At 50.6% G+C, this 26,154-nt stretch overlaps 3 protein-coding genes and 2 pseudogenes across 7 annotated transcripts, besides 2 other annotated features; all 5 read left to right on the forward strand.

The window, feature by feature from the left end:
• Positions 6,570 to 7,106: an enhancer, noted in NCBI's record as "H3K27ac-H3K4me1 hESC enhancer chr16:56659379-56659915 (GRCh37/hg19 assembly coordinates)". NCBI's record gives its function as "activates a minimal SCP1, AML or CMV promoter by ChIP-STARR-seq in primed H9 embryonic stem cells {active_cell/tissue: H9 hESC(primed)}" and the evidence as "EXISTENCE:reporter gene assay evidence [ECO:0000049][PMID:30033119]".
• Positions 6,883 to 6,932: a silencer, noted in NCBI's record as "silent region_7512". NCBI's record gives its function as "represses an Ori minimal core promoter by ATAC-STARR-seq in GM12878 lymphoblastoid cells {active_cell/tissue: GM12878}" and the evidence as "EXISTENCE:reporter gene assay evidence [ECO:0000049][PMID:35858748]".
• MT1E (metallothionein 1E) lies at positions 6,884 to 8,215 on the forward strand. 2 transcript variants are annotated; one of them, NM_175617.4, is made up of 3 exons: positions 6,884 to 6,982; positions 7,569 to 7,634; positions 7,983 to 8,215. In NM_175617.4, the coding sequence occupies exons 1-3, from the start codon at positions 6,955 to 6,957 to the stop codon at positions 8,072 to 8,074; spliced, it is 186 nt and encodes a 61-aa protein (NP_783316.2). In that variant the 5' UTR covers positions 6,884 to 6,954; the 3' UTR covers positions 8,075 to 8,215. The 2 variants fall into 2 exon arrangements, with proteins under 2 accessions (NP_783316.2, NP_001350484.1); NM_001363555.2 differs by having other exon boundaries at positions 7,569 to 8,215.
• Positions 13,762 to 15,084, forward strand: MT1M (metallothionein 1M). The gene is made up of 3 exons (NM_176870.3): positions 13,762 to 13,862; positions 14,443 to 14,508; positions 14,854 to 15,084. Exons 1-3 carry the CDS (start codon positions 13,835 to 13,837, stop codon positions 14,943 to 14,945), a joined length of 186 nt encoding a protein of 61 aa, NP_789846.2. The 5' UTR covers positions 13,762 to 13,834; the 3' UTR covers positions 14,946 to 15,084.
• MT1JP (metallothionein 1J, pseudogene) lies at positions 16,842 to 18,189 on the forward strand (annotated as a pseudogene). The gene is made up of 3 exons (NR_036677.1): positions 16,842 to 16,948; positions 17,542 to 17,607; positions 17,955 to 18,189. The product of NR_036677.1 is annotated as a metallothionein 1J, pseudogene (transcript).
• A 1,579-nt stretch (positions 18,190 to 19,768) lies between these two features.
• On the forward strand, positions 19,769 to 21,190 carry MT1A (metallothionein 1A). Its single transcript, NM_005946.3, has 3 exons — positions 19,769 to 19,869; positions 20,367 to 20,432; positions 20,962 to 21,190. Exons 1-3 carry the CDS (start codon positions 19,842 to 19,844, stop codon positions 21,051 to 21,053), a joined length of 186 nt encoding a protein of 61 aa, NP_005937.2. The 5' UTR covers positions 19,769 to 19,841; the 3' UTR covers positions 21,054 to 21,190.
• A 3,599-nt stretch (positions 21,191 to 24,789) lies between these two features.
• On the forward strand, positions 24,790 to 26,044 carry MT1DP (metallothionein 1D, pseudogene; annotated as a pseudogene). Of its 2 annotated transcripts, none has more exons than NR_027781.1 (3): positions 24,790 to 24,855; positions 25,214 to 25,279; positions 25,813 to 26,044. The product of NR_027781.1 is annotated as a metallothionein 1D, pseudogene, transcript variant 2 (transcript). The 2 variants fall into 2 exon arrangements; NR_003658.2 differs by lacking the exon at positions 24,790 to 24,855 and adding an exon at positions 24,907 to 25,111.
• Positions 26,045 to 26,154: the final 110 nt, after the last annotated feature.

Consider the following 26,154-nt stretch of genomic DNA (forward strand, 5'->3'; position numbering starts at 1 on the left):
GCTCTGGATGGACATGTGAGTCGCTAACAATCTGAGCGCCTCCTGACAAGCCAGGTTACCTCACTGAGCTTCATCTTCTATAAAAGGGAATTGCACTGTGCCAGGTCATAATGGGGGGACATCTATGATCACCTCTGGTCATATCAATTGTGGCACAGAAACTTCTCCATCTCTCGTTTTTATTTTCTGATTTCCCTGCCCAATTTCAGTTTCCTCTTCAGATTTTAGGCTTCAAAGAGATGACAGGGGTGGAATCCAATTCCTCAGCTGCTTGATTCCCACACCGGGCTTCTCAAACTCCATGGTGAAGGAAATTTTTACTACCTATGCATCCCAGATATAAACCTTTTTTTTTTAATTTTGGCATGTAAAACACTGATTTCAGAAAATACACTTTTAAAACTTTGTTGTTTATACAAAAAGAGATACATTTCTCAGGAGGCAGATAGCAAAATGTCACTGTGGATCAGAGCCTGATGAAACTAGCAATTTTAGCCTGGCATAGTCCCAGCTACTTGGGAGGCTGAGGTGAGAAGATTAGTTGAGCCCGGGAGGCGGAGGTTGCAGTGAGCCAAGATTGTGCCACTGCATTTCAGTCTGGGTGGCAGAGTGAGGCCCTATCTCAAAAAATAAAAAGTAAAATAAAATAAAAATAAACTAACAATGTTTCAAAATCTGGTTACAAAGAAGAAAAGGGAAGCCATCTCAAGGCTGAGATGTTGCTACCTGCTCCCCCAACCCCCGACCCCTGACACCAAGTGACACTGAGGCTGGGGAAGGCTGCACGGCCTGAGCCTTGGTGCTCCAGATGGACACTTCTTTCAAAATCTTGGCTTTGGCCAAAACATGGCAAGTTGATGAGTAAACTGTCCTGCTGAGAGGTGTGGTGGAGGATACGTCCTCTTAGGTGGGAAGATAAAAATAATTATGTCAATGATGGAGAAAATGAAATCAAACACAAAATACAAAACACAATTTTTCACATTTAACAGGAAAGAATTCAATAAATGCATAAAGAAGTAACAGAAAAATTGGCCAGGCATGGTGTCTCATGCCTGTAATCCCAGCACTTTGAGAGGCCGAGGTAGGCGGATCACCCGAGGTCAGGATTTTGAGACCAGCCTGAACAATACGGTGAAACTCCGTTTCTACTAAAAATACAAAAATTAGCCGGGCGTGGTGGCAGGCACCTGTAATCCCAGCTACTCAGGAGGCTGGGGCAGGAGAATCACTTGAACCTGGGAGGTGGAGGTTGCGGTGAGCCGAGAACATGCCACTGCACTCCAGCCTGGGTGACAGAACAAGACTCCATCTCAAAAAAAAAAAAAAATAGTAACAGAAAAATTGAAGATTTACAAACTCTGCACATATGTTCACGAGTGATGTACACTGCAGACTGGAAACGTTGGGCTGGTCCCATTGTGTGAATCACACACTTTCATCCGCACTGGCCACGACAACCTCACAAGGATACCATCAGCTGGGCTGAGGGCAATGGCTCAACCTTGTAATCCTAGCACTTTGAGAGGATGAGGCCAGCAGATTGCTTGACCTCAGGAGTTCGAGACCTGCCGGGGCAACACAGCGAAACCTGTCTCTACAACAAGTGCAAAATTTAATTGGGCTTGGTGACGTGTGCCTGTACTCCCAGCTACTCAGGTGGGGGGTGAGGCGGGGGGGGTAAGGTGGGAGGATCTCTTGAGCCCAGGAGGTGAATGTTGCAGTGAGCAGAGATCTTGACACTGCACTCCAGCCTGGTTGATAGAGCAAGACTCTGAAAGAAAGAAGAAAGAAGAAAGAAAGAAAGGAAGAAAGAAAGGAAGAAAGAAAGAAAGAAAAAAAGAAAGAAGAAAGAAAAAAGAAAAAAGGATACAATTAGCTTTAGCCTGCCCAGCATCACAGGACACTTGCTGACACCTGAGAGTTCCCTGTTGTGACTTGGCTCTGAATCTTTGAAAGTTCTGCCCAAGCTCATTCTCAGCAAACTATCGTAAGGACAAAAAATCAAACACCGCATGTTCTCACTCATAGGTGGGAATTGAACAATGAGAACACATGGACAGGGAACATCACACACCAAGGGACTGTCGTGGGGTGGGGGGAGGGGGGAGGGATAGCATTAGGAGATATACCTAATGTAAATGACGAGTTAATGGGTGCAGCACACCAACATGGCACATGTATACATATGTAACAAACCTGCACGTTGTGCACATGTACCCTAAAACTTAAAGTATAATAACAATTAAAAAAAAAAAAAGAAAGTTCTGCCCAAGCTCAAGCTGAATTTTCCCTTTCAAATTTCAGCCCTTGACTGTATCAATCCATCAAAGTGACTGGGGCTGTGGAGGGAAGAGCCGACCATTTTCCCAGCAAGATGCAGTGTGTGTAATCATGGGTTGCAGATGTTCCTGTTTGCCCTTGCAGGAGTGATAGCAGGTCCTGCAGTTTGGGGAGTGTGGGGGTGCTCATTAGGAAAGAGTGAGGCCCTAGCTGACTTCTAATTAAAGCCAATGATTAGTGCTCCCTGGCTATGTGGAGGGAATCCTATTTGATGTTCAATCAAAGAGAAAGATGAGTCTCTTGGCCTAGAGGTCAGGGCCCACTTACTCCCTGTTTCCCTGTGACGAGATTTCAGAAGGCAGCCTGAGCCTAGGGCATGGGTTTTGCTGTCAGGCAGTCCTGGTTCACAGCCTACTTCATCACCGAAAAAAAAAAAAAAAAAAAGTGAGAGTCTCATCTCTGAAAGAGAAAAAAAGCAACTTTGGAACTGGGTAACAGGCAAGAGTTGGAACAGTTTGGAGGGCTCAGAAGAAGAAAGAAAAATGTGGGAAAGTTTGGAACTTCCTAGAGACTTGTTGAATGGCTTTGCCCAAAATACTGATAGTGATACAGACGATAAAGTCCAGGCTGAGGTAGTCTTATATGGAAATGAGGGACTTGCTGGGAACTGGAGCAAAGGTGACTTTTGTTATGTTTTAGCAAAGACACTGGTGGCATTTTGCATTTGCCCTAGAGATATGAGGAACTTTGAACTTGAGAGAGATGATTTAGGGTGTCTGGTGGAAGAAATTTCTAAGCAGCAAAACATTCAAGAGGTGACTTGTGTGCTATTAAAGGCATTCAGAATTATAAGGGGAACAGAGCATAAAAGCTTGGAAAATTTGCACCCTGACAATGCAATAGAAAAAAAAAATCCCATTTTCTGAGGAGAAATTCAAGCTGGCAGCAAAAATTTGCATAAATAACAAGGAGCAGAATGTTAATCCCCAAGACAATGGGGAAAATGTCTCCAGGGCATGTCAGAGGACTTCACAGCAGCCCCTCCCATCACAGGCCCAAAGGCCTAGGAGGAAAAGTGGTTTCATGAGCCGGGTCTAGGGTCCCTGTGCTGTGTGCAGCCTAGGGACTTCGTGCCCTGCATCCCAGCCACTCCAGCCATGGCTAAAAGGGGCCAATGTAAAGCTCTGGTCGTGGCTTCAGAGGGTGCAAGCCCCAAGCCTTGGCAGCTTCCACATGATGTTGAGCCTGTGAGTGCACAGAAGTCAAGAATTGGGAACCTCTGCCTAGATTTCGGAAGTTGTATGGAAATGCAGAAGTTTGTTGTAGGAGTGGGGCCCTCATGGAGAACCTCTGCTAGGGCAGTGTGGAAGAGAATGTGGGGTCAGAGCCCTCACAGAGTCCCTACTGGGGCACCGGCTAGTGGAGCTGTGAGAAGATGGCCACCATCCTCCAGACCCCAGAATGGTAGATCCGCCAGCGGCTTTCACCATGTGCCTGGAAAAGCCACAGACACTCAATGCTAGCCCATGTAAGCAACCAGGAGGGGGGCTGTAAAGCCACAGGGGCAGAGCTGCCCAAGACCATGGGAACCTACCTCTTGCATCAGCATGACCTGGATGTGAGACCTGGAGTCAAAGGAGATCATTTTGGAGCTCTAAGATTTGACTGCCCTGCTGGATTTTTGACTTTTATGGGGCCTGTAGCCCCTTTATTTTGGCCAATGTCTCCCATTTGGAATTGCTGTATTTACCCAATGCCTGTAGCACCATTGTATCTAGGAAGTAACGAATTTGCTTTTGATTTTTCAGGCTCATAGGCAGAAGGGACTTGCCTTGTCTCAGATAATACTTTGGACTGTGGACTTTTGAGTTAATGCTAAAGTGAGTTGAGACTTTGGGGGACTGTGGGGAGGGCATGATTGGTTTCAAAATGTGAGGACCTGAGATTTGGGAGGGGCTAGAAGTGGAAAGATATGGTTTGGCTGTGCTTCTACCCGAATCTCATCTTAAATTTTAATTCCCGCAACTCCAAAGTGTCATGGGAGGAACCTAGTGGGAGGTAATTGAATCATGGGGGCAGGTCTTTCCTGTGCTGTCCTCGTGATAATGAATGAATCTTATGAGATCTGATGGTTTTAAAAATGGAAGTTTCCGGGCACAAGCTCTCTCTTTGCCTGCTCCCATCCATGTAAGACATGACTTGCTCCTCCTTGCCTTCCGCCATGATTGTGAGGCCTCCCAGCCATGTGGACCTGTAAGTCCATTTCTTTTGTAGATTGCCCAGTCTCGGGTATGTCTTTTATCAGCAGTGTGAAAACAAACTAATACAATGGGTGAGGGCATGAAGCTGCAGACAGCATGCATGAGTGCACATCCCACCTGTCACTTTTAGCTGTGCCTCACAACCTCTCTGTGTCTCCTGTAATAGGAGCATAATAATGGCATCTGGATTGTAAGATGAAAGAATTTTATACATGTAAGGAGCTTAGAATGCTGCTTGGCAAGCATTCTACAATATTAGCTATTGCTTTTTTTAAAAAAAAATAATAATCATACATCGCATGGGGGATATTTACTTACAGACAAAGAAGCCAGGCCTGGAGTGCCTAGCTGTGTATGCTCTCATTGTCATCTGCCACATGAACATGTGTCATGTGGTCCAAAGAGAGTCATTCACTGCTCCCACAAAATCATCATCAACACAGGGTTATTAAGCTACGAGCAAGATTCTCTGCCTCATGTCAGATATAAAATGACTGGCATTTCTGTTACCACCTGCACACTTTACTTATCATTTTATATTTAAATGATTAATATTTTCTTAAATATATTTGTATGAAAAGCAAACTCTTTTCCATCACCAAAAATGAAAATCGGTCCTATCCATACATACAAGATAGCTAGGAAAACTATAAATGTGTGTGTGTGTGTGTGTGTGTGTGTGTGTGTGTATATATATATATATATATATATATATATATATATTACACTTATGGATTGCTTTTGCCACTGCCCATGGTTGAGCTTGTGGCTTGCCATTGTTTAGAAGATTTCCAGCAAGAGAGAAGTGCTGATGACATACCTGGGCCAAAGGAAGGCTTGATCCATGGACACTTTCTCTTGAGGGGTTGGCTGGATTCAAATCAGTGACAATTTTTCAGCTCTGTGACTTGAACCAATTACTTTAACTCTGTAGTAGCTGTCTGTTTAGTAATACAAGTTCATAAATCGTATTTTTCTTTAAGATCACAAAGCAAGTGGTTAAAAAGAGATCGGCACAGACTCAATGTTGTGCATTCAGCCGGGAATATTGAAGAGATCAGCAATATTGAAGAGAAATAACCATTTATCTTGCTTTCTTTTTTTCCTTTCTTTCTTTTTCTTTTTTTCTCTTTCTTCTTTTTCTGTTTTTTTTTTTTTTTTTTTTTTTTTGACGTGCAGTGGCGCGATCTTGGCTCACTGCAAGCTCCACTTCCCGGGTTGACGCCATTCTCCTGCTTCAGCCTCCCCAGTAGCTGAGACTACAGGCACCCGCCACCAAGTCCAGCTAATTTTTTGTATTTTTAGTAGAGGCGGGGTTTCACCATGTTAGCCAGGATGGTCTCCATCTCCTGACCTCGTGATCCGCCCGCCTCGGCCTCCCAAAGTGCTGGGATAACAGGTGTGAGCCACCGCTCCCGGCCTATCTTGCTTTTTAATTTTATTTTTTTAGAGACGTTCACTCCCTATGTTGCCCAGGCTGGACTCGAACTCCTAGGCTCAAGTGATCCTCCCAAGTAGCTGGGACTACAGCAGTAGGCGCCACCTCGCCCACCTTGCTTTTTAATTTAAAGCAGGGTCTGCATATCATCTGAAGTAATCTCTCTTTGGGGACACCCCGCATGTCCAGAACTGCCATCCGGTATTGTGGTGGCCCTAAGGCTAGGGGTAGCATGGAGACTTAAGTGCAAAGGAGGACCTGGACAAATGTGCCCACACATCCTCTCAGGCGAGGAGAATGGACAGGAGAGAGAGGCCGATCCGTGTTCCCCGTGTTGCTATGTAAGGAGGTGCGGGACCGAGGAACCTAGGTGTGGACAGGGACAGGCAAGGCGGGGGACGAAGAGAAATGAAAGCCACATCGGTGGCGGATGTTCTGAACACAACTCGCTCGCTACCGCACGTTCCCCGCTCCGCACTCAGCGGATCCCGGGACGGCAGCAGGTGGGCTGCACACGGACTCTGGGACAAGTCGAGCTGAAAACCGCGGAGCTAGGGGTGGGGTGGAGACGCCCGCGACGCCAAGGCTGGGGTCCCGGAACACGCTGGGAGGAGGGTGGAAGGCAACCTCGGGGAAACTGGGAAAGGCGGCCTGGACTTCGGGAACACCGCGTACCTGCGGGGGCACAGCCCCACCCGAGCGAACGGGCTCCAAAGGGGAGGTCCCGCGGTGCCCACCGCGCAGAGCTCAGGGGGTGGTGCGCCCGGCCCTTCTGCGGCGCACAGCCCAGCCCAGGAACGCGGGCGGTGCGGACTCAGCGGGCCGGGTGCAGGCGCGGAGCTGGGCCTCTGCGCCCGGCCCGACCTCCGTCTATAAATAGAGCAGCCAGTTGCAGGGCTCCATTCTGCTTTCCAACTGCCTGACTGCTTGTTCGTCTCACTGGTGTGAGCTCCAGCATCCCCTTTGCTCGAAATGGACCCCAACTGCTCTTGCGCCACTGGTAAGGGAAGCTCTGCGCCCTGGAATCCCCATTTCCCAGCCCTATTACAGAGGGTCTCTGGGTTTCAGGAAGTCGCATTTTAAGTTCTGAGCGACGGGGACTCCAGTACTTCGTTAGATGCTTTCTTCCTGATCACGCCCCTGAGAGCATTGCCCTCATCCCTGGGCCTCTACGTCAGAGTTAAGAATACTGAGGCTCAAGGCTGAACTGCTCCACATCACCCAGTTGGTCATGGGCCTGCTGGCTGGGCCCCAGTGCTCTGTCCAGGCTCTGAGCAATCAGTGTGGTTGGGGGTGCTGGAAACATTGACTCTTCAGAGTTCAGGACAGAAGGTTCTGGCTCGCAGTCTCAATATTCCTGGGTTGTATGTGCACGTGGGACCTTCCTGGTGCGGTAAAACAGGAGGGTCCTTGCCCTTCCCAGCGTTAGTGGAGAGGACATGGGGCTTCTGTTCCTCTGTCCTGAGTGGGAAAGGAGCTCTGAGGGCTGGCCCTGCACAGAGGAGGGGGCACTGGAGACTCACTGACCCACTGCTGTACCTTCTGCATCTCACTCACTGCCCACTGCGTTTTCCTCTTCCTTGTAGGTGGCTCCTGCACGTGCGCCGGCTCCTGCAAGTGCAAAGAGTGCAAATGCACCTCCTGCAAGAAGAGTGAGTGCGGGGCCATCTCCAGGAATCTGGGGCTGTGGCTCAGGTTGGGAGGGAACTCAAGGCTGGCCCTGAGTGCATCCTTCTGGGGAACTGGGCTTTCTTTGCCCTCATTGCCCGTGTCATTCCCTCTCCAGGCTTTCTGCCCTAAATTCAGATGGGGCAGGACAGCATTTTTCTCGTGGGACACAAACCCCAACTGTACCCCCTATGGTTTCAGAACAGAGCTGTGCCAGACGAAAAAAAGCATCCTCTGGGTCTGGGTTCTGAGCTCGAGCCAGGCTTGCTATTAGGGCAGGGAGGTGCCCGGTCAAGTCTACTGCCACCTCTCACTCTCCCCTTCTTCCCCAGGCTGCTGTTCCTGCTGCCCCGTGGGCTGTGCCAAGTGTGCCCAGGGCTGCGTCTGCAAAGGGGCATCGGAGAAGTGCAGCTGCTGTGCCTGATGTGGGAACAGCTCTTCTCCCAGATGTAAATAGAACAACCTGCACAACCTGGATTTTTTTAAAAATACAACACTGAGCCATTTGCTGCATTTCTTTTTATACTAAATATGTGACTGACAATAAAAACAATTTTGACTTTAATCTTACTCTGTTCTTCTTTGTGTGTCTTGGAAAAAACGGACTGGGTGGGGGTTGAACCGGGATTTTAGAGACCAGGCTCTGGATGGAAATGTGAGCCACTAGCAATGTGAACACTTTCAGGCCAGCCAGGTTACCTCACTGAGTTTACACTTCTGTAAGATGGCATTCCACTGTGCACACCATATTGGTGGGGGGGCATATATGATCGCTTCCAGTCTCATGTAAAATGTGGCACAGAAACTCCTTCCCTCCTTTTTATTTTCTGATTTTCCTGCTCAACTTCAGATCCACATTGGATTTTAGGCTTAAAATCGGCTACAGGCCGGGCGCAGCTACTCAGGAGGCTGAGTCAGGATAATGGCATGAACCTGGGAGGCGGGGCTTGCAGTGAGCTGGGATCCCGCCAGGGCACTCCAGCCTGGGTGACAGAGTGAGACTCCCTCTCAAAAAAAAAACAAACACCGGGCATGGTGGCTCATGCCCGTAATCCCAGCACTTTGGGAGGCTGAGGCGGGCGGATCACCCGAGGTCAGGAGTTCGAGACCAGGCTGACCAACATAGAGAAACCCTGTCTCTACTAAAAATACTAAATTAGCCAGGCGTGGTGACGCATGCCTGTAATCCCAGTTACTTGGGAGGCAGAGGCAGGTGAATCGCTTGAACCCGGGAGGCGGAGGTTGCGGTGAGCCGAGATCGCGCCATTGCACTCCAGCCTGAGCAACAACAGCGAAACTCCGTCTCAAAAAAAAAAAAAAAAAAAAAAAAAAAAAAAAAGGGCTATAGGCCAGGAGCGGTGGCTCACGCCTGTAATCCCAGCACTTTGGGAGGCCAGGTGGGCGGATCACGAGGTTAGGAGATCGAGACCATCCTGGCTAACACGGTGAAAACCCCGTCTCTACTAAAAAAAAAATACAAAAAATTAGCCGGGCATGGTGGTGGGCACCTGTAGTCCCAGCTACTCCGGAGGCTGAGGCAGGAGAATGGCGTGAACCTGGGAGGCGGAGCTGGCAGTGAGCCGAGATCATGCCACTGCACTCCAGCCTGGGCGACAGAGCGAGACTCCATCTCAAAAATAAAAAATAAAAAAAAAATAATTGGCTACAGGACAGGCACGGTGGCTCACGCCTATAATCCCAGCACTTTAGGAGGCCAGGTGGGCAGATCACCAGGTCAGGAGTTTGAGACCAGCCTGGCCAACATGGTAAAACCCTGTCTCCACTAAAGATACAAAAAATTAGCCACACGTGATGGCACGTAGCTATAATCCCAGCTACTGGGGAGGCTGAGGCAGGAGAATTGCTTGAACTCGGGAGACTGAAGTTGCAGTGAGCCGAGATCCGCCAGTGCACTCCAGCCTGGACAACAGGGCGAGACTCCATCTCAAAAAAAAAAAAAAAAAAAAAGTGGCTACAGTGCTGGAACCCAACTCCCCAGTTCCTTGAATCCTACAAGTGTGCTATGATTTGGATGTTTTGTCACTACTAAATCTCATGTCGAAATGTGACTTCCAATATTGCAGGTGGGGCCTAGTGGGAACTTTGGGGTCATGAGCACAGATCCCTAAAGAATGGCTTGGTGCCATCCCGTGGTGAAGAGTGAGTTCTTCCTCTAGTAGCTCACTCCAGAGCTGGCTGTTTAAAAGAGCCAGGCATCATCCCTTTTTCTCTCTTGTTTCTTGTCTCTCTACGTGATGTGCCTGCTCCCTGTTGGCCTTCTGCCAGGAAGGTAGGCTTCCTGCGGCCCTCACCAGAGGCAGATGCCTGTACCACACTTATGCACAGCCTGCAGAAGCTTAAGAGAATCGCTTGAACCCCGAAGGCAGAGGATGCAGTGAGCCAAGACTGCACCACGGCACTCCAGCCTGGGCAACTGAGACTCTGTCTCAAAGAAAGAAAAGAAAGGAAACAGCAAACTGGCCCCAGTGTGTGGTTCACACACCTTGAGCAGCACTGCCCAGCACATCCCCACAAAAAACCCTCAGGCTTGGTCTGCCCAGTGTCACTGACAGGACACTCGTTGACCCCTGAGAGCTCCCTGTTGTGACTTGGCTCTGAATCTTTGGAAATTCCTCCCAAGCTCAGGCTGAATTTGTTCCTCTTTCAAATTTCAGCCCTTGACTACTTCCAACCACTAAAGTGACTGGGAATATGGAAGGAAATGCCCGGCATGTTCCTGGCACAATGAAGTGTGTGTGATCATGGGTTCCACATGAATACCTCACACCTGCCCATGCAGGAATGATGGCGGATTCTGCAGTTTGGAGGGTGTGCTGGTGCTCATTAGGAAGGAGTGAGGCCCTGGCTGACTTCTAATTAAAGCCAATGATTAGTTCCCTCGGCTATGTGGAGGGAATCCTATTTGACATTCAGTCAAAGAGGAAGATGATCCTCCTGACCTAGAGGTCAGGACCATGCTTGCCCACTGCTTCCCTGTGAAGAGTAGATTTCAGAAGGCAGCCTGTGCCTAGGGCATGGGTTTTGGTGTCAGGCAGTCCTGGTTCACAGCCCACCTCACCACGTACTGGCTGTGTGGCCTGAGTGCATCACTGAAACTCTCTGAGCCTCCAGTTCCTTATTTGTAGAAAGCAGATTATATCTCAAAGCAGGGATTAAATGACAGCATGGTCTGGCCCCTGGCTAGGGTTTAATAAATAGCAGTTATAAGCATTCTCTCTACACTGGCTTTTTTGGAAAATGAACCCTGTTAAATCTCAAAGATAAGAGAAACCTTATGGGTTTGAAAGCATTACTGTGGATTGGATACTGGCAATCGGATTGCAACCAGGCTGACCCTGCCAGGAGGCGTGTGGGTGACCTTCTGCGGAAAGTCCTTGTCGATAACATGCTGCCCCTACATTTGAGCAGACATAAAAATCCGTTCCCATCCTTCATATCATCTGATCACACGACCTCAGGAACGAGAGCCACAGGCCTCAAGACTGGGACAGCAAATATGCAGGGCCTGGAGTGCTTATGCTGTCTTCCAGATTAGTTAAGTAACCTACCCAATGTCACACAGCTCAGAAGTAAAGGGATGAATGAACCTATGCTAAACCTGGCCTGTGGCCCTGGCCACAGCTGGTAGATTATGATGCCACGGGATGCTAAATCTTGCCTATCTCAGTTCAAAGATACAAAGACTCTTTGGGATGGATGAATGTTGCTCTCGGCTTGAGAGATGAGAACTGAAACCCAGAGATGTCACAGAGCTGTGCAGGGGGACATTCCTGTCCACAGAGTGCACTTCCTATTGCTGCCTCTGTGCTAGATTTTCAGTGTCATTATCTTTCATGTGACTTAGTGGCATAGAGTGGTAGCTGAGGGTACGATGCTGCCATCAGAATGCATGAGTGCAAATCCCACCTCTGTTAGTTTCAGCTGCATGGCACAACCTCTCTGTGGCTCAGTCTCCTCCACTGTACAAGGGGCATGATACTAACCTCTGGCTTGTAGGATTAAAGGATTTAATACATATCAGGAACTTAGAATGGTACCAGGGGTGGGTGGTCTACAATATTAGCTATTGCTTATTTTGTTCATTCTATGGAGCATAGGGGATATTTATTTATTTGCACATAAAGGCCTGGAGTGCTCAGCTGTGTATCCTGTTATCCTCATCTACCGCATGAGCATGTGTCCTGTGGTCTAAAGAGAGCCATTCAGTGTCCCCACAAAATTGTTATCAACACTAGGGTTATAAAGCTATGAGGAAGATTCTGTGCTTCATGTCAGATACAGAAGAATGACTGCCATTTCTGTTACCACCTGCACCATCCCTTAGTTAATATTTTACCTTGAAATGATCAATACTTCTTAAACATATTTTTATGAAAAGCAAATTATTTTCCACCTGAGAAAATGAAATCCAATCTTGTCTTACACATGGAAGATAGCCCCCAAATTAATGTGTGTGTGTGTGTGTGTGTATTACACTTATGGATTACTTTTGCCACTGCCCATCAGAGAGCTGGTAGCTTCCTGTTGTTTATTTGAGGGTTTTTGGTTGTTTTTGTTTGTTGAGACAGAGTTTTACCCCTGTCAGCCAGCTGGAGTACAATGGCCCAATCTGCCACCTCTGCCTCCCGGGTTCAAACGATTTTCCTGCCCAAGCCTCCCCAGTAGCTGGGATTACAGGCAACTGCCACCATGCCAGGATAATTTTTGTATTTTTAGTGGAGACAGGGTTTCGCCATGTTAGCCAGGCTGGTCTCCAACTCCTGACCTCAGGTGATTCATCCGCCTCGGCCTTCGTAAGTGCTGGGATTACAGGTGTGGGCCGCGGTGCCCTTCCCCTGTTGTTTAGAAGATTTCCAGCAATAGAGAAGTGCTGACGACATATCTGGACCAAAGGAAGGCTTGATCATGGACACTTTCCTTTAAGAGGCTGGCTGGACTTAAACAAGGGCACAAATTTTTAGCTCTGTGACGACCAGCCAGTTACTTGGACATTTCCTTTGTAGTCCTGTGATGAGCAAAACGGGTTCATAACTAGTATTTCCCTTTAGGATTGCTGTGAGGATTCAAAGAATGAAAGAGATTAAAAAGGGACTGGTGTAGACTCAATGTCATGCAATAGTCAGGTATACTGAAGAGAAACAACTGCATGTCTTGTTTTTTAATTTTATTATTTTAGAGATGCTGACTTGCTATGTGGACTAGGCAGAACTCGAACTCCTGGGCTCAGGTGATCCTCCCGCCTCAGCCTCCTAAGTAGCTGGGACTACAGCTTCCCGCGACCTCACCCATCTTGCTTTTTAATTTAAAGCAGAGTCTGCATATCATCTGAAGTCATCTCTCTTTGGGGACATCCCACAGGTCCAGAACTGCCAGACGGTAGTGGGGTGGCCGGCTAGGCTGTGGGGAGCATGGAGATTTATCTGCAAAGGAGGACCTGGACAAATGTTCCCCCACATCCTCTCAGGCGAAGAGAATGGACGGGAGAGAGAGGCCGACCAGTGTTCCCCGTGTTGCTGTGTACGGAGGAGCCAGTCCGAGGGACCGCGGTGTGGACAGGGACAGGCAAGGCGGGGAAGGAGGAGAAACGAAAGCCACATTGGTGGCGGGTGCTCTGCACACGACTCGCTCCCTACCACACGCCCCCCGCTCCGCACACGACCGATCCGGGGACTGGAGCAGGAGGGCTGCACCGGGACTCCGGGACAGGCCCAGTTGAAAACGGCGGGGCGAGGGGGTGGGGTGGAGACGCCCGCGACGCCAAGGCTGGGGTCCCGGAAAGCGCGGGGAGGAGGGTGGAAGGCAAAGGCAACTTCGGGGAAACTGGGAAAGGCGGCCGGGACCTCGGGGACACTGCGTACCACCCGGCGCACAGCCCCTCCCGCGCAAACCCGAGCCAAAGGGGCGGTCGAGCGGCGCACTCGGAGCGGAGCTCAGGGGATGGTGCGCCCGGCACTTATGCTGGGCTCAGCCCAGCCCAGCCCAGGACCGCTGGCGGTGCGAACCCAGCCGGGCGGGTGCAAGCGCGGGGCAGGGCCTCTGCGCCCGGCCCCCTCCCCTGAGTAGAAAAGCAGCCGCAGGCTGTGGCGCTCCACCACGCCGTCCGGGTGGGCCTAGCAGTCGCTCCATTTATCGCTTGAGATCTCCAGCCTTACCGCGGCTCGAAATGGACCCCAACTGCTCCTGCACCACTGGTAAGAGAAGCCGACCCTGCGCCCTAGGAATCCCATTTCCCAGCCCCAGTACTGAGGGTCTCTGGGTTTGAGGAGGTCGCATTTAAGTTCTGAGCGGAAGGGAATTCCTTTACTTCCTTAGGTGCTTTCTTCCTGATCTCCCCTCTGAGAGCACTGCCCTCCCTCCTGGGCCTCTGGGTCAGAGTTAAGGATACTGAGGGTCAAGGCAGTCCCGCTCCACATCACCCAGTTGGTTAGGGTCCTGCTGGCTGGGCCCCAGTGTTCTCCTCCAGGCTCTGAGCAATCAGGGTGGACTGGGGGCTGGAGACATTTGAGTCTTCAGGGTTCAGCACAGAAGGTTCTGGCTGGCAATCTCAGTATTCCTGGGTTGGGTGTGCCCCTGGGACCTTCCTGGTAGGGTAAAACAGGAGGGTGCTTGCCCTTCCCAGCGTTAGTGGAGAGGACAGGGGCTTTCCCTGAGTGGGAAAGGAGCTCTGAGGGCTGGCCCTGCACAAAGGAGGGGGCACTGGAGACTCATTGACCCATTGCTGTACCTTCTTCATCTCACTCACTGCCCACTGCGTTTTTCTCTTCCTTGCAGGTGTCTCCTGCGCCTGCACCGGCTCCTGCACGTGCAAAGAGTGCAAATGCACCTCCTGCAAGAAGAGTGAGTGCGGGGCCATCTCCAGGAATCTGGGGCTGTGGCTGAGATTGGGAGGGAACCCAAGGCTGGCCCTGAGTGCATCCTTCTGGGGAACTGGGCTTTCTTTGCCCTCATTGCCCGTGTCATTCCCTCTCCAGGCTTTCTGCCCTAAATTCAGATGGGGCAGGACAGCATTTTTCTCTTGGGACACAAATCCCAACTGTAGCATCTATGGTTTCAGAACAGAGCTGTGCCAGACGTAAAAAGCTTCCTCTGGGTCTGGGTTCTGAGCTCCAGCCAGGCTTGCTATTGGGGCAGGGCGGTGCCCGGTCAAGTCTACTGCTACCTCTCTCTCCCCTTCTTCCCCAGGCTGCTGCTCCTGCTGCCCCGTGGGCTGTGCCAAGTGTGCCCACGGCTGTGTCTGCAAAGGGACGTTGGAGAACTGCAGCTGCTGTGCCTGATGTGGGAACAGCTCTTCTCCCAGATGTTAATAGAACAAGCTGCACAACCTGGATTTTTTTTCAATACGATACTGAGCCATTTGCTGCATTTCTTTTTATATTAAATATGTGAGTGACAATAAAACAATTTTGACTTGAATCTTACTCTGTTCTTCTTTGTGTGCCTTGGAAAAAATGGACTGGGTGGGGGTTAAACTGGGAGTTTAGAGACCAGTCTCTGGATGAAAATGTGAGTCACTAACAATGTGAACACCTTCAGGCCAGCCAGGTTACTCACTGAGTTCACCCTTCTGTAAAACGGTATTGCATTGTGCACACCATATGGGTGCGGGCCATACATGATCGCTTTTAGTGTGATTCCAAATGTGGTACAGAAACTTCATCCCTTATTTTTATTTTCTGATTTTCCTCCACAACTTGAGATCCACATTGGATTTTAGGCTTAAAAGTGGCTATAGTGCTGGAACCCAACTTCTTAGTTTCTTGAATCCTACACGGGTGCTATGATTTAGATATTTTGTCACTGCCAAATCTCATGTTGAAATGTGTCCTCCACTATTGCAGGTGGGGTCTAGTGGGAGCTTTTGGGGCCATGAGGACAGATCCCTAAAGAATGGCTTGGTGCCCTCCCATGGTGAAGGGTGAGTTTTTCCTTTGGTAGGTCACTCCAGAGCTGTCTGTCAAAGTGATTAGAAAGGGACAGGTATAGACTCAATGTTATGCCTTAGTCAGGTATACTTCAGAGAAATAACTGGATGTCTTGCTTTTTAATTTTATTTTTTTAGAGACGTTGACTCACTATGTGGACTAGGCAGGACATGAAGTCCTGGGCTCAAGTGATCCTCCCGCCTCAGCCTCCTAAGTAGCTGGGACTTCAGCTTCCCGCCACCTTCCCCACCTTGCTTTTTTTCTTTTTCTTTTTCTTTCTTTCTTTCTTTTTTTTTGGGTGGGGGGACCGAGTCTCGCTTTGTCGCCCAGGCTGGAGTGCAGTGGCGCTATTTCGGCTCAGGGCAAGCTCCGCCTCTGCGTTCATGCCATTCTCCCGCTTCAGCCACGGGATAGCTGGGACTACAGGTGCCCCCCACCACGCCCGGCTAATTTCCCATCTTGCTTTTTAATTTAAAGTAGGGTCTGCATATCATCTGAACTCATCTCTCTTTGGGGACAGCCCACAGGTCCAGAACTGCCAGCCGGTAGTAGGGGTGGCCGGCTAGGCTGTGGGGAGCATGGAGATTTATCAGCAAAGGACGACCTGGACAAATGTGCCCACACATCCTCTCAGGCGAGGAGAATCGACGGGAGAGAGAGGCCGACCCGTGTTCCCCGTGTTGCTGTGTACGGAGGAGCGGGTCCGAGGGACCGCGGTGTGGACAGGGACAGGCAAGGCGGGAGATGAGGAGAAACGAAAGCCACATCGGTGGCGGGTGCTCTGCACACAACTCGCTGGCTACCGCACGCTCCCCGCTTCCCACTCAGCCGATCCGGGGACAGGAGCAGGAGGGCTGCACCGGGACTCCGGGACAGGCCCAGCTGAAAACGGCGAAGCGAGGGATGGGGTGGAGACGCCCGCGACGCCAAGGCTGGGGTCCCGGAAAGCGCGGGGAGGAGGGTGGAAGGCAAAGGCAACTTCAGGGAAACTGGGAAAGGCGGCCAGGACCTCGGGGACACCGCATACCGCCGGGCGCACAGCCCCTCACGCGCGAAGGGGCGCCAGAAGGGCGGTCCCGCGGCGCGCCGGGAGTGGAGCTCAGGGGTTGGTGCCCCCGGCCCTTCTGCTGCGCACAGGCCAGCCCAGGACCGCTGGGGGCTCGAACCCAGCGGGGCGGGTGCAAGCGCGGGGCAAGGCCTCTGCGCCCGGCCCCCTTCCTTGAGTAGGAAAGCAGCCGCAGGTTGTGGCGCTCCACCACGCCGTCCACGTGCGCCTTGCGGTCTCTCCATTTATCGCTTGAGATCTCCAGCCTTACCGCGGCTCGAAATGGACCCCAACTACTCCTGCACCACTGGTAAGAGAAGCCCAACTCTGCGCCCTGGGATTCCCATTTCCCAGCCCCAGTACTGAGGGTCTCTGGGTTTGAGGAGGTTGCATTTTAAGTTCTGAGCGGAAGGGGACTCCTTTACTTCCTTGGGGTGCTTTCTTCCTGATCGCGCTCCTGAGAGCACTGCCCTCCCTCCTGGGCCTCTAAGTCAGAGTTAAGGATACTGAGGCTCAAGGCAGTCCTGCTCCACATCACCCAGTTGGTCAGGGTCCTGCTGGCTGGGCCCCAGTGTTCTCCTCCAGGCTCTGAGCAATCAGGGTGGATGCTGAGCTAGAGGCATTGAGTCTTCAGGGTTCAGGACAGAAGGTTCTGGCTGGCAATCTCAGAATACCTGGGTTGTATGTGCACGTGGGACCTTCCTGATAAGGTGAAACAGGAGGGTGCTTGCCCTTCCCAGTGTGAGTGGAGAGGACATGGGGCTTCTGTTCCTCTGTCCTGAGTGGGAAAGGAGCTCTGAGGGCTGGCCCTGCACAGAGGAGGGGGCACTGGAGACTCATTGACCCACTGCTGTACCTTCTTCATCTCACTCACTGCCAACTGCGTTTTCCTCTTCCTTGCAGGTGGCTCCTGCACGTGCGCCGGCTCCTGCAAGTGCAAAGAGTGCAAATGCACCTCCTGCAAGAAGAGTGAGTGCGGGGCCATCTCCAGGAATCTGGGGCTGTGGTTAAGGTTGGGAGGGAACTCAAGGCTGGCCCTGAGTGCACCCTTCTGGTGAACTGGGCTTTCTTTGCCCTCGTTGCCCATTTCATTCCTTCTCCCAGCTTTCTGCCCTGAGTTCAGATGGGGCAGAACAGCATTTTTCTCTTGGGATGCAAACCCCAACTGTACCATCTATGGTTTCAGAACAGAGCTATGCCAGACGAAAAAAGCTTCCTCTGGGTCTGGCGTCTGAGCTGGAGCCACGCTTGCTATTAGGGCAGGGAGGTGCCTGGTGAAGTCTGCTGCCACCTCTCACTCTCCCCTTCTTCCCCAGGCTGCTGCTTCTGCTGCCCCATGGGCTGAGCCAAGTGTGCCCACGGCTGCATCTGCAAAGGGACGTCGGAGAAGTGCAGCTGCTGTGCCTGATGTGGGAACAGCTCTTCTCCCAGATGTTAATAGAACAACCTGCACAACCTGGATTTTTTTTTTATACAATACTGAGCCATTTGCTGCATTTCTTTTTATATTAAATATGTGAGTGACAATAAAACAATTTTGACTTGAATCTTACTCTGTTCTTCTTTGTGTGCCTTGGAAAAAATGGACTGGGGTGGAGGTTAAACCGCAAGCTTAGAGACCAGGCTCTGGATGGAAATGTGAGTCACTAATAATGTGAACACCTTCAGGCCAGTCAGGTTACCTCACTGAGTTCACACTTCTGTGAAATGGTACTGCACTTTGCCACACCATATGGGTGGGGACCATACATGATCGCTTCCAGTCTCATGCCAAACGTGGCACAGAAACTTCATTCCTTATTTTTATTTTCTGATTTTCCTCCACAACTTGAGATCCACATTGGATTTTAGGCTTAAAAGTGGCTATAGTGCTGGAACCCAACTTCTTAGTTTCTTGAATCCTACATGTGTGCTATGATTTAGATATTTTGTCACTGCCAAATCTCATGTTGAAATGTGTCCTCCACTATTGCAGGTGGGGCCTAGAGGGAGCTTTTGGGGTCATGAGGACACATCCCTAAAGAATGACTTGGTGCCATCCCATGGTAAAGAGTGTGTTCATCCTCTGGTAGGTCACTCCAGTGGTGGCTGTGAATGAAAGTGATTAGAAAGGGACTGGTATAGACTCAATGTTATGCCTTAGTCAGGTGTACTTTAGGGAAATAACTGGATGTCTTGCTTTTTAATTTTATTTTTTTAGAGAAGTTGACTTGCTATGTGGACTAGGCAGGACTGGAAGTCCTGGGCTTAAGTGATGCTCCCGCCTCAGCCTCCTAAGTAGCTTGGACTACAGCTTCCCGCCACCTCCCCCATCTTGCTTTTTAGTTTAAAGCAGGGTCAGCACATCACATGAAGTCATCTCCTTTTTGGGGATATCCCACATGTCCAGAACTGCCAGACGGTAGTGGGGTGGCCGGCTAGGCTGTGGGGAGCACGGAGATTTATTTGCAAAGGAGGACCTGGACAAATGTGCCCCCACATCCTCTCAGGCGAGGAGAATGGACGAGAGTGAGAGGCCGACCCGTGTTCCCGTGTTACTGTGTACGGAGTAGTGGGTCCGAGGGACCTAGGTGTGGACAGGGACAGGCAAGGCGACAGCGAGGAGAAACGAAAATCACATCGGTGGCGGTTGCTCTGCACACAACTCGCTCGCTACCGCACGCTCCACGCTCTGCACTACGCCGATCCGGGGACAGGAGCAGGAGGCTGTGGCTGCACTCAGACTTCGGGACAGGCCGAGCTGAAAACCGTGAGAGGGGTGGGGTGGAGGCGACCGAAACGCCAAGGCTGGGTTCCCGGAACGCGCGGGGACTAGGGTGGAAGGCAACTTCGGGGAAACTGGGAAAGGCGACCGGGACCTCGGGGACGCCCCGTACCCCGGGCGTAAACTCACTCCCGCGTTAGCGGCCCCAAAGCGGGGAGGGGGTGGTCCCGTGGTCCGCACCCAGGGGAGCTCAGTGGACTGTGCGCCTTGCCTTTCTGCTGCGCAAAGCCCAGTCCAGGTCATCACCTCGGGCGGGGCGGACTCGGCTGGGCGGACTCAGCGGGGCGGGCGCAGGCGCAGGGCGGGTCCTTTGCGTCCGGCCCTCTTTCCCCTGACCATAAAAGCAGCCGCTGGCTGCTGGGCCCTACCAAGCCTTCCACGTGCGCCTTATAGCCTCTCAACTTCTTGCTTGGGATCTCCAACCTCACCGCGGCTCGAAATGGACCCCAACTGCTCCTGCGCCACTGGTAAGGGATGCTAGGTTTCTGGTCCTTAGGATACCTATTTCCCCGCCACAGGATAGATGTCCCTAGGAGTAGAGGTGTTTTTTGAGTTCTAGCTAAGTGGAGTCATTTATTTCATTGATCTAGTGCTTTTCCACTCAGCGCCTTCATCATCCCTAGAACATTCCTATTCTAATGCCTCCCATTTCAGAGGCGAGAGGACTCAGGCTCATAATTCTCCTGCTCCATGTCACCCAGGTAGTCGGGGACTGCTAGGCTGAGCCCCAGTACTCTGCGCAGTTCCTGGGGTGGATGGGAGACAGGAGTTATTGGTTTTTCGGGATTAAGGACATAAAGCCCATCCTAGCCTCTACAGATAGAAGTAAGATTAGGCTTCATGGTGCCCTGAGTTGGACAGGAGCTATCTATCAGGCCTGGCAATGCACTCAGCTGGCAGCATTTGTTGACCAACTGCTGTTATCTTCTGTATAAAATTCACTGCCTTTTTCTCTTCCTTGCAGGTGGCTCCTGCACCTGCACTGGCTCCTGCAAATGCAAAGAGTGCAAATGCACCTCCTGCAAGAAGAGTGAGTGTGGGGCCATCTCCAGGAATCTGGGGCTGAGCCAAGTCAGAGGCAGGAAACCAGAGCTGGGCATGGAGGAGTAGGCCAATGATCCATTTCCCACATCCCCTTCCCCAGCAACTGATTCAGGATCAGAGCCAGATCTTTAGACGTGATGGATTCCCAAGTTTCGTTCTTAAAATAGACAAACTGAGGCCAAGAGTGCACCAGCCTGCCAAGCACAGACATGACACCTAAGGACTTTCCTCCCCTAAGTGTGTGGTTCTGGGGAGCCAGCCTTCCTTTGTCCTTCATAACCCCAGTCACTGCCTTTCCAGCCTTCTGCCAGGTCTGGGGCTCAGATGGAGATAAGCTTTTCACAGAAGACCCTCACTCGAAAGATCCACCACTTATCTCCCATCTCCGACAGTGCATGCCATCCTGAACTAAGTGTCCTCTGGGGCTGGGGACAGAGCTTGGGCCAGGCTTCTCTGGGGGCAGGGAAGTCCCCGGTCAAGTCTGGTCTGACCTCTCACTCTCCCTTCTTCCCCAGGCTGCTGCTCCTGCTGCCCCATGAGCTGTGCCAAGTGTGCCCAGGGCTGCATCTGCAAAGGGGCATCAGAGAAGTGCAGCTGCTGTGCCTGATGTCCGGACAGCCCTGCTCGAAGATATAGAAAGAGTGACCTGCACAAACTTGGAATTTTTTTTCCATACAACCCTGACCCATTTACTGTATTTTTTTTAATGAAATATGTGAATGATAATAAAAGTTGCTGACTTAATGCTGGCTCTGGTTTTCTTTGTGTGCCTTGGAAATAAGGGACCCCATACCCAACAGAGCTGGGATGGTGGATTGCATTGAGAGTCCAGAGACCTGGGTGCTGGGACCTTGTCCTATTATCTTACACACTGAGTGCCTTAAGGCAAATCAGGCACCTGCCTCAGGTCAGTTTCTTAAATAAAAATGTAAGAGCGTGATGACAGATGATATAATGCCACAGGAATCTGTCACAGACTTAAGCTTTGGTAAGATAAAATCTATTAGTATGACAAAAAAAAAACACCAAATCCATTTTTTATATTGAACAGGACAATTTCAGTAAATATATGGAAGACAAGATAGGAAAAATAAAATTACACTACACATTTGTTCTAGGATGTATATTTCAGACTGGAAACAGTTCACAGACTGGCCCCAGTATGTGGGTCACACACCTTCAACACCACCAGCCAGGACATCCCCACATGGAACCATCAGTCTTGGCCTGTCCAGGGTCACTGATGTGACTCTTGGTATCTCTGAGAGCTCCATGTTGTGACTTGTCTCTGAATCTTCGGAAGTTTCTCCCTAGGTCATGCTGAAATCCGTTCCTCCTTCAAGTCCAGCCCTTGGTTAATTCAGGCAAGCAAAGTGACTGGGGGAGTGGAGGAAATTACCCAGGATCCTCCCAGCAAGCTGGAGTACAGAGAAGGATTAGTTCCAGATGAAGTACTTTGAGTCCGCCTATGCGGAGGTGATGGCATATTATGCAGTTTCTAAAGTGTGGTGGTGTTCATTAGGAAGGAGTAGGGGGCCCCAGGTAACTTGTAATTAATGGCAGCAATTAGTTCCTCTGGCTATTTGTTGCGGGAATTGCTATTTGATGTTCAAAGAAGAAAAGGGGTCAAGCGGGCCAGGAATCAGGACCATGCTGGCCTGCAGGTACTCCTTTTGAAGAGAGGGTTCCAGAAGGCAGGCTGTGCAAAGAGCATGGGGTTCAGGGTCAGGGCAGTCTTGTTTAACTGCCCACTTCACCACCTACTGGCTGTGAGACCTAGGCAGGTTGCTCAACCTCTCTGAGCCTCCATTTCTTCCTTTGTAGAACTGTCTGTCACAATTCAGAGCTAGAAGGGACCTTGGTTAGTTAGTGCAGCTGTGCCTCTGATGGGTGAGATGGCATGTTGAGGCTGAGAGGTCACAGAGCTATGCAGAGGGATTGACTGCTAGCTCAGTGTCCTTCCCACTGCTGTCTCTGTGCCAGATTTTCAGTGTCCTTGGGTTTTACATGACACAGTAGCATAGGGTGGTTGTTGAGGGCACCATGATGCAGTCAGCATGCATGAGTGCAAATCCCAGCTGCGTCACTTATATGTGGGTGACGCAACCTTTCTGTGGCTCAGTCTCCTCAACTGTGAATTGACATAATAATAGAGTCTGCTGGTAGGAGCAAATCACTTAAAACATGTGAAGAACTTAAAATGGTGCCTGGCTTGTGCTGACTAGTCTGTAATAGCTTTGATTGTAATCTTTATTCATAGCATAGGGATATTTTTCTACCTCTAGACAAATAAGCCAGGCCTGGTGGGCTTAGCTGTGTGTCCCATGTTGTTCTCATCAATAACAGGAGCACGTGACTTGTGGCCCAGAGAGGGTCCTCCACTAGTCCACAAATAAGGATCCATATTGGATATATAAAGCCACGAGCAAGACAGTCCCTGTCTGCATAACAAATGCAAAAGGATTCCTGCCATTTCTGCTATCGCCTGCGCTGTTATTTTCCTTAACATTTTCTCTTAAGTAATCATATTTCTTTAATATATTTATAGGAAAAGCAAACTCTTTGACACTACTGAGAAAAAGAATCAGTCACACTTGCAGATATGGAAGGTAGCCATAAAATTACATATACATCCCTTCTGTCACTTCCAGAATTGACCTGGACGTTTGTTTATGTTTAAAGATTTCAAGCAGTAAAGAGGTGCTGAAGACATACCCAGGCCAAAGGGAAAGTTTGCCCTTGACCTCTTTCCCTTGAAAAGCTGACTGGATTGAGACCCACAGTACCACTGTTACCGGTGCAGGGTGTCCAGGTTCTTAGTACCTTGAACAAAGAATTTGACAAAATGTACAAAGTAAGGGAGGGAGGAAGCAACAAAAGCGGAGGTTTATTGAAAACAAAAGTATACTGCACAGGGTGGGAGCTGGCCCCAGCGAGTGGCTCAAGGGCCTGGTTATAGAATTTTCTATGGTTTAAATATCCTCTAGAGGTTTCTCATTGGTTGCTTAGTGTACACTCTATGTACAAGAAGTAGTGGTCCGCTATCAGTCTGACTGATTGCAGAAAGCAACCAATTAGAAGCTGAAGTGAAGTTACAAAGTTACTCCTGTGCAAATGAAGATGTAGCCCAAGACCAGCCCAACTGGTTGCCATAAGGGGCAAATCAGAGGTACTTTCAATTTCTCATCTCCCATGCAGACAAAGTGGGGAGGGGTTGCAAACGAAGTAGCCTCTGGTCCTTTTGTTACTTGGGTGTGGAAAGTTGGGGTTTTCCTTTTGGTTTAGTTCTAGAAAGACTGTGAATCAGCCTTAGGTTCACTGCCTCCAGAATCTATTCTCTTGCCTCAGCACTTCCACCCTCTGTTCCGGGCTAGTTACCTATCTCCTTGTGTTGTCGTTGTCTGATTAGTAAGATGCTGTCATAAAGAGTATTATCCTCGAGGGTTGCTGAGAGGGTTCAAATAGCCAAAGTGACTAAACAGGGTCTGGCCAAGACCAAAAGCTCGGCAATAGTCAGGAATTCTGAAAGTGAAATAAGCACTTTTCATGCTTCCTAATTTAATGTAGGGTCACCACATCAGGGAAAAGATCCCTCCCTTGGTGACGTCCCAAGCTTTGGATGTCCTTAGTCCTGGTGGGCCAGCTAGGCTGTGGGAAGCCCAAAAGAAGTTAAAGCAAAAGAGGACTTAAGCAAATATGCACATCGCCCCCTCAGGAGTGGAGAATGGAAGGGAGGGAGGCAGAGCCCTGTATCTGGCCTGTTGCTGTGTGCTGTGAAAAGGAAAAATGAGGCCAAAGGACCTGGGTGACTATGCAGGTGGGTCGAAGATCACATGGGAGGCTGGTCCTCTGCACACAACTCCCTCGCTGCGCTTCCCGCCTCGGTCTTATCTGGGGACGTGAGCACTAGGCTGGGGTAGCACATGGACTCCCACAGAGCCGAAGCTCACGTCACTGGTGCGGGGTGCGGGGGTGGGGATACCGCGACCACCTGAGGCTGGGTTCCCGGACCGCCCAAGGGCAGGAATGGAGTGCAATCTCCGGGAAATTCGGGAGGGCCGGGATTATAGCAGGGACGCCGCGTACCGCCAGGAGCACAGCCCCTCCAAAGCGAGCGTGAGCCAAAGGGCCGCCCCCAGGGTGCGCAACAGCCACGTTAAGGAGGATCCTGCGCCCGGCCCGCCTGGTGCGCACAGCCCCGCCCTGAACCCTGGGCAGCGCTGACACTGAGCTGGGCTGGTGCGAGACCTGGGGCGGGGCCACTGCACCCAGCACCCTGCCCTGACTGTAAAGTCAGGCGGCCTGCTCCTGTTCCGCCTCCTACCGGCCCGCCTGTTTTTTCGCCTGTGGCTTAGGAACTCCAGCCTCACCTGATCTCCGAATGGACCTCAGCTGCTCCTGCGCCACTGGTAAAGGATGCCTGGTTTCGGGTCTTAGGATCTTCATTTTCATACCACAGAATAGAACATCCCTGGGGCAGGAGGCAGGTGCATTTTGAGCTCTTCCTAAAGTGGACTCCTTTGCTTTGCACTTCTCGAGCTTTCTCCCCGCCAAGAGCCTTCATCACCACTTAGAACATTGCCATCTTCCTAGTGCCTCCGATTTCTGAGGCGAGAGGACTGAGGCTGAAAACTGCCCGGCTGCAGGTCACCCTCAAGGCCAAAGGTGTGCTGAACTAGGACCCAGTGCTCTGTCCAGCATTGAGCTGCCTGAGGTGGATGGGAGGCACACAACATTCACTCCTCACTGCCTTTTTCTTCCTTGCAGGTGGCTCCTGCACCTGTGCCAGCTCCTGCAAATGCAAAGAGTACAAATGCACCTCCTGCAAGAAGAGTGAGTGTGGGGCCTTCCCTGGGAATCTGGGGGCTGGGCAGAGTCAAAGGAGGGATCCCAGACCTCCGCAGACAGGAGCAGACCAATGACGAACTTCCCACATCCCCTTGCTTCAGCAAATGACTTAGGATCACAGCTGGAAGAACACTAGAGATGGTTAATTCCCAATCTTTATTCTTACCAGGGGGAAACTGACACCAAGAGAGCACACCAGCCTGCCAAGCACAGGCCTGATACTTGAGGACTTTCCTCACTTAGGTGTATTATTCTAGGAGACTGTCCTTCCTTTTACTGCAAAGAGCATGTCGCTCCCTCTGGAGTCTTCTGCCCTGTCCTGGGCACAGGAAGGGTGGGTAGCTTTTTCATGGCAAGACTCTCACCCCAAAGATCCAGGAGTTGTCTCCTGACAGAACAATGCCATCCTGAACTAAGCGTCTTTTGGGGCTGGAGGCACAGCTTGAGGCAGGCCTCTGTTGGGTCGGGGAGATCCCTGGTCAAGCCTGCTCTGATCTCTCACTCCCCTTCTTCCCCAGACTGCTGCTCCTGCTGCCCCATGGGCTGTGCCAAATGTGCCCAGGGCTGCACCTGAAAAGGGGCATTGGAGAAGTGCAGCTGCCGTGCCTGATGTTGGGACAGCCCTGCGTCCAGTTGTAAATAACGCAACCCCTACAAATCTAGTTTTTTTTTAAACACAAACCTAACCCATTTACTATGTCTGTTTTCTTAAATGAAATATGGGAATGATAATAAACATTGTTGGCCTTATTCTGCCTCTGTTTTTTTTGAGGGGGTGTCCTGAAATAAGACACCTCAGACCCAGCAGAGCTGGGATCATCCTTTATGCTGAGTGCCTTAAGGCAAGTCGGGTCACCTGT

Source organism: Homo sapiens, chromosome 16 (genome assembly GCF_000001405.40).
Source record: "Homo sapiens chromosome 16, GRCh38.p14 Primary Assembly".
NCBI classification, from domain to species: Eukaryota; Metazoa; Chordata; class Mammalia; order Primates; family Hominidae; genus Homo; species Homo sapiens.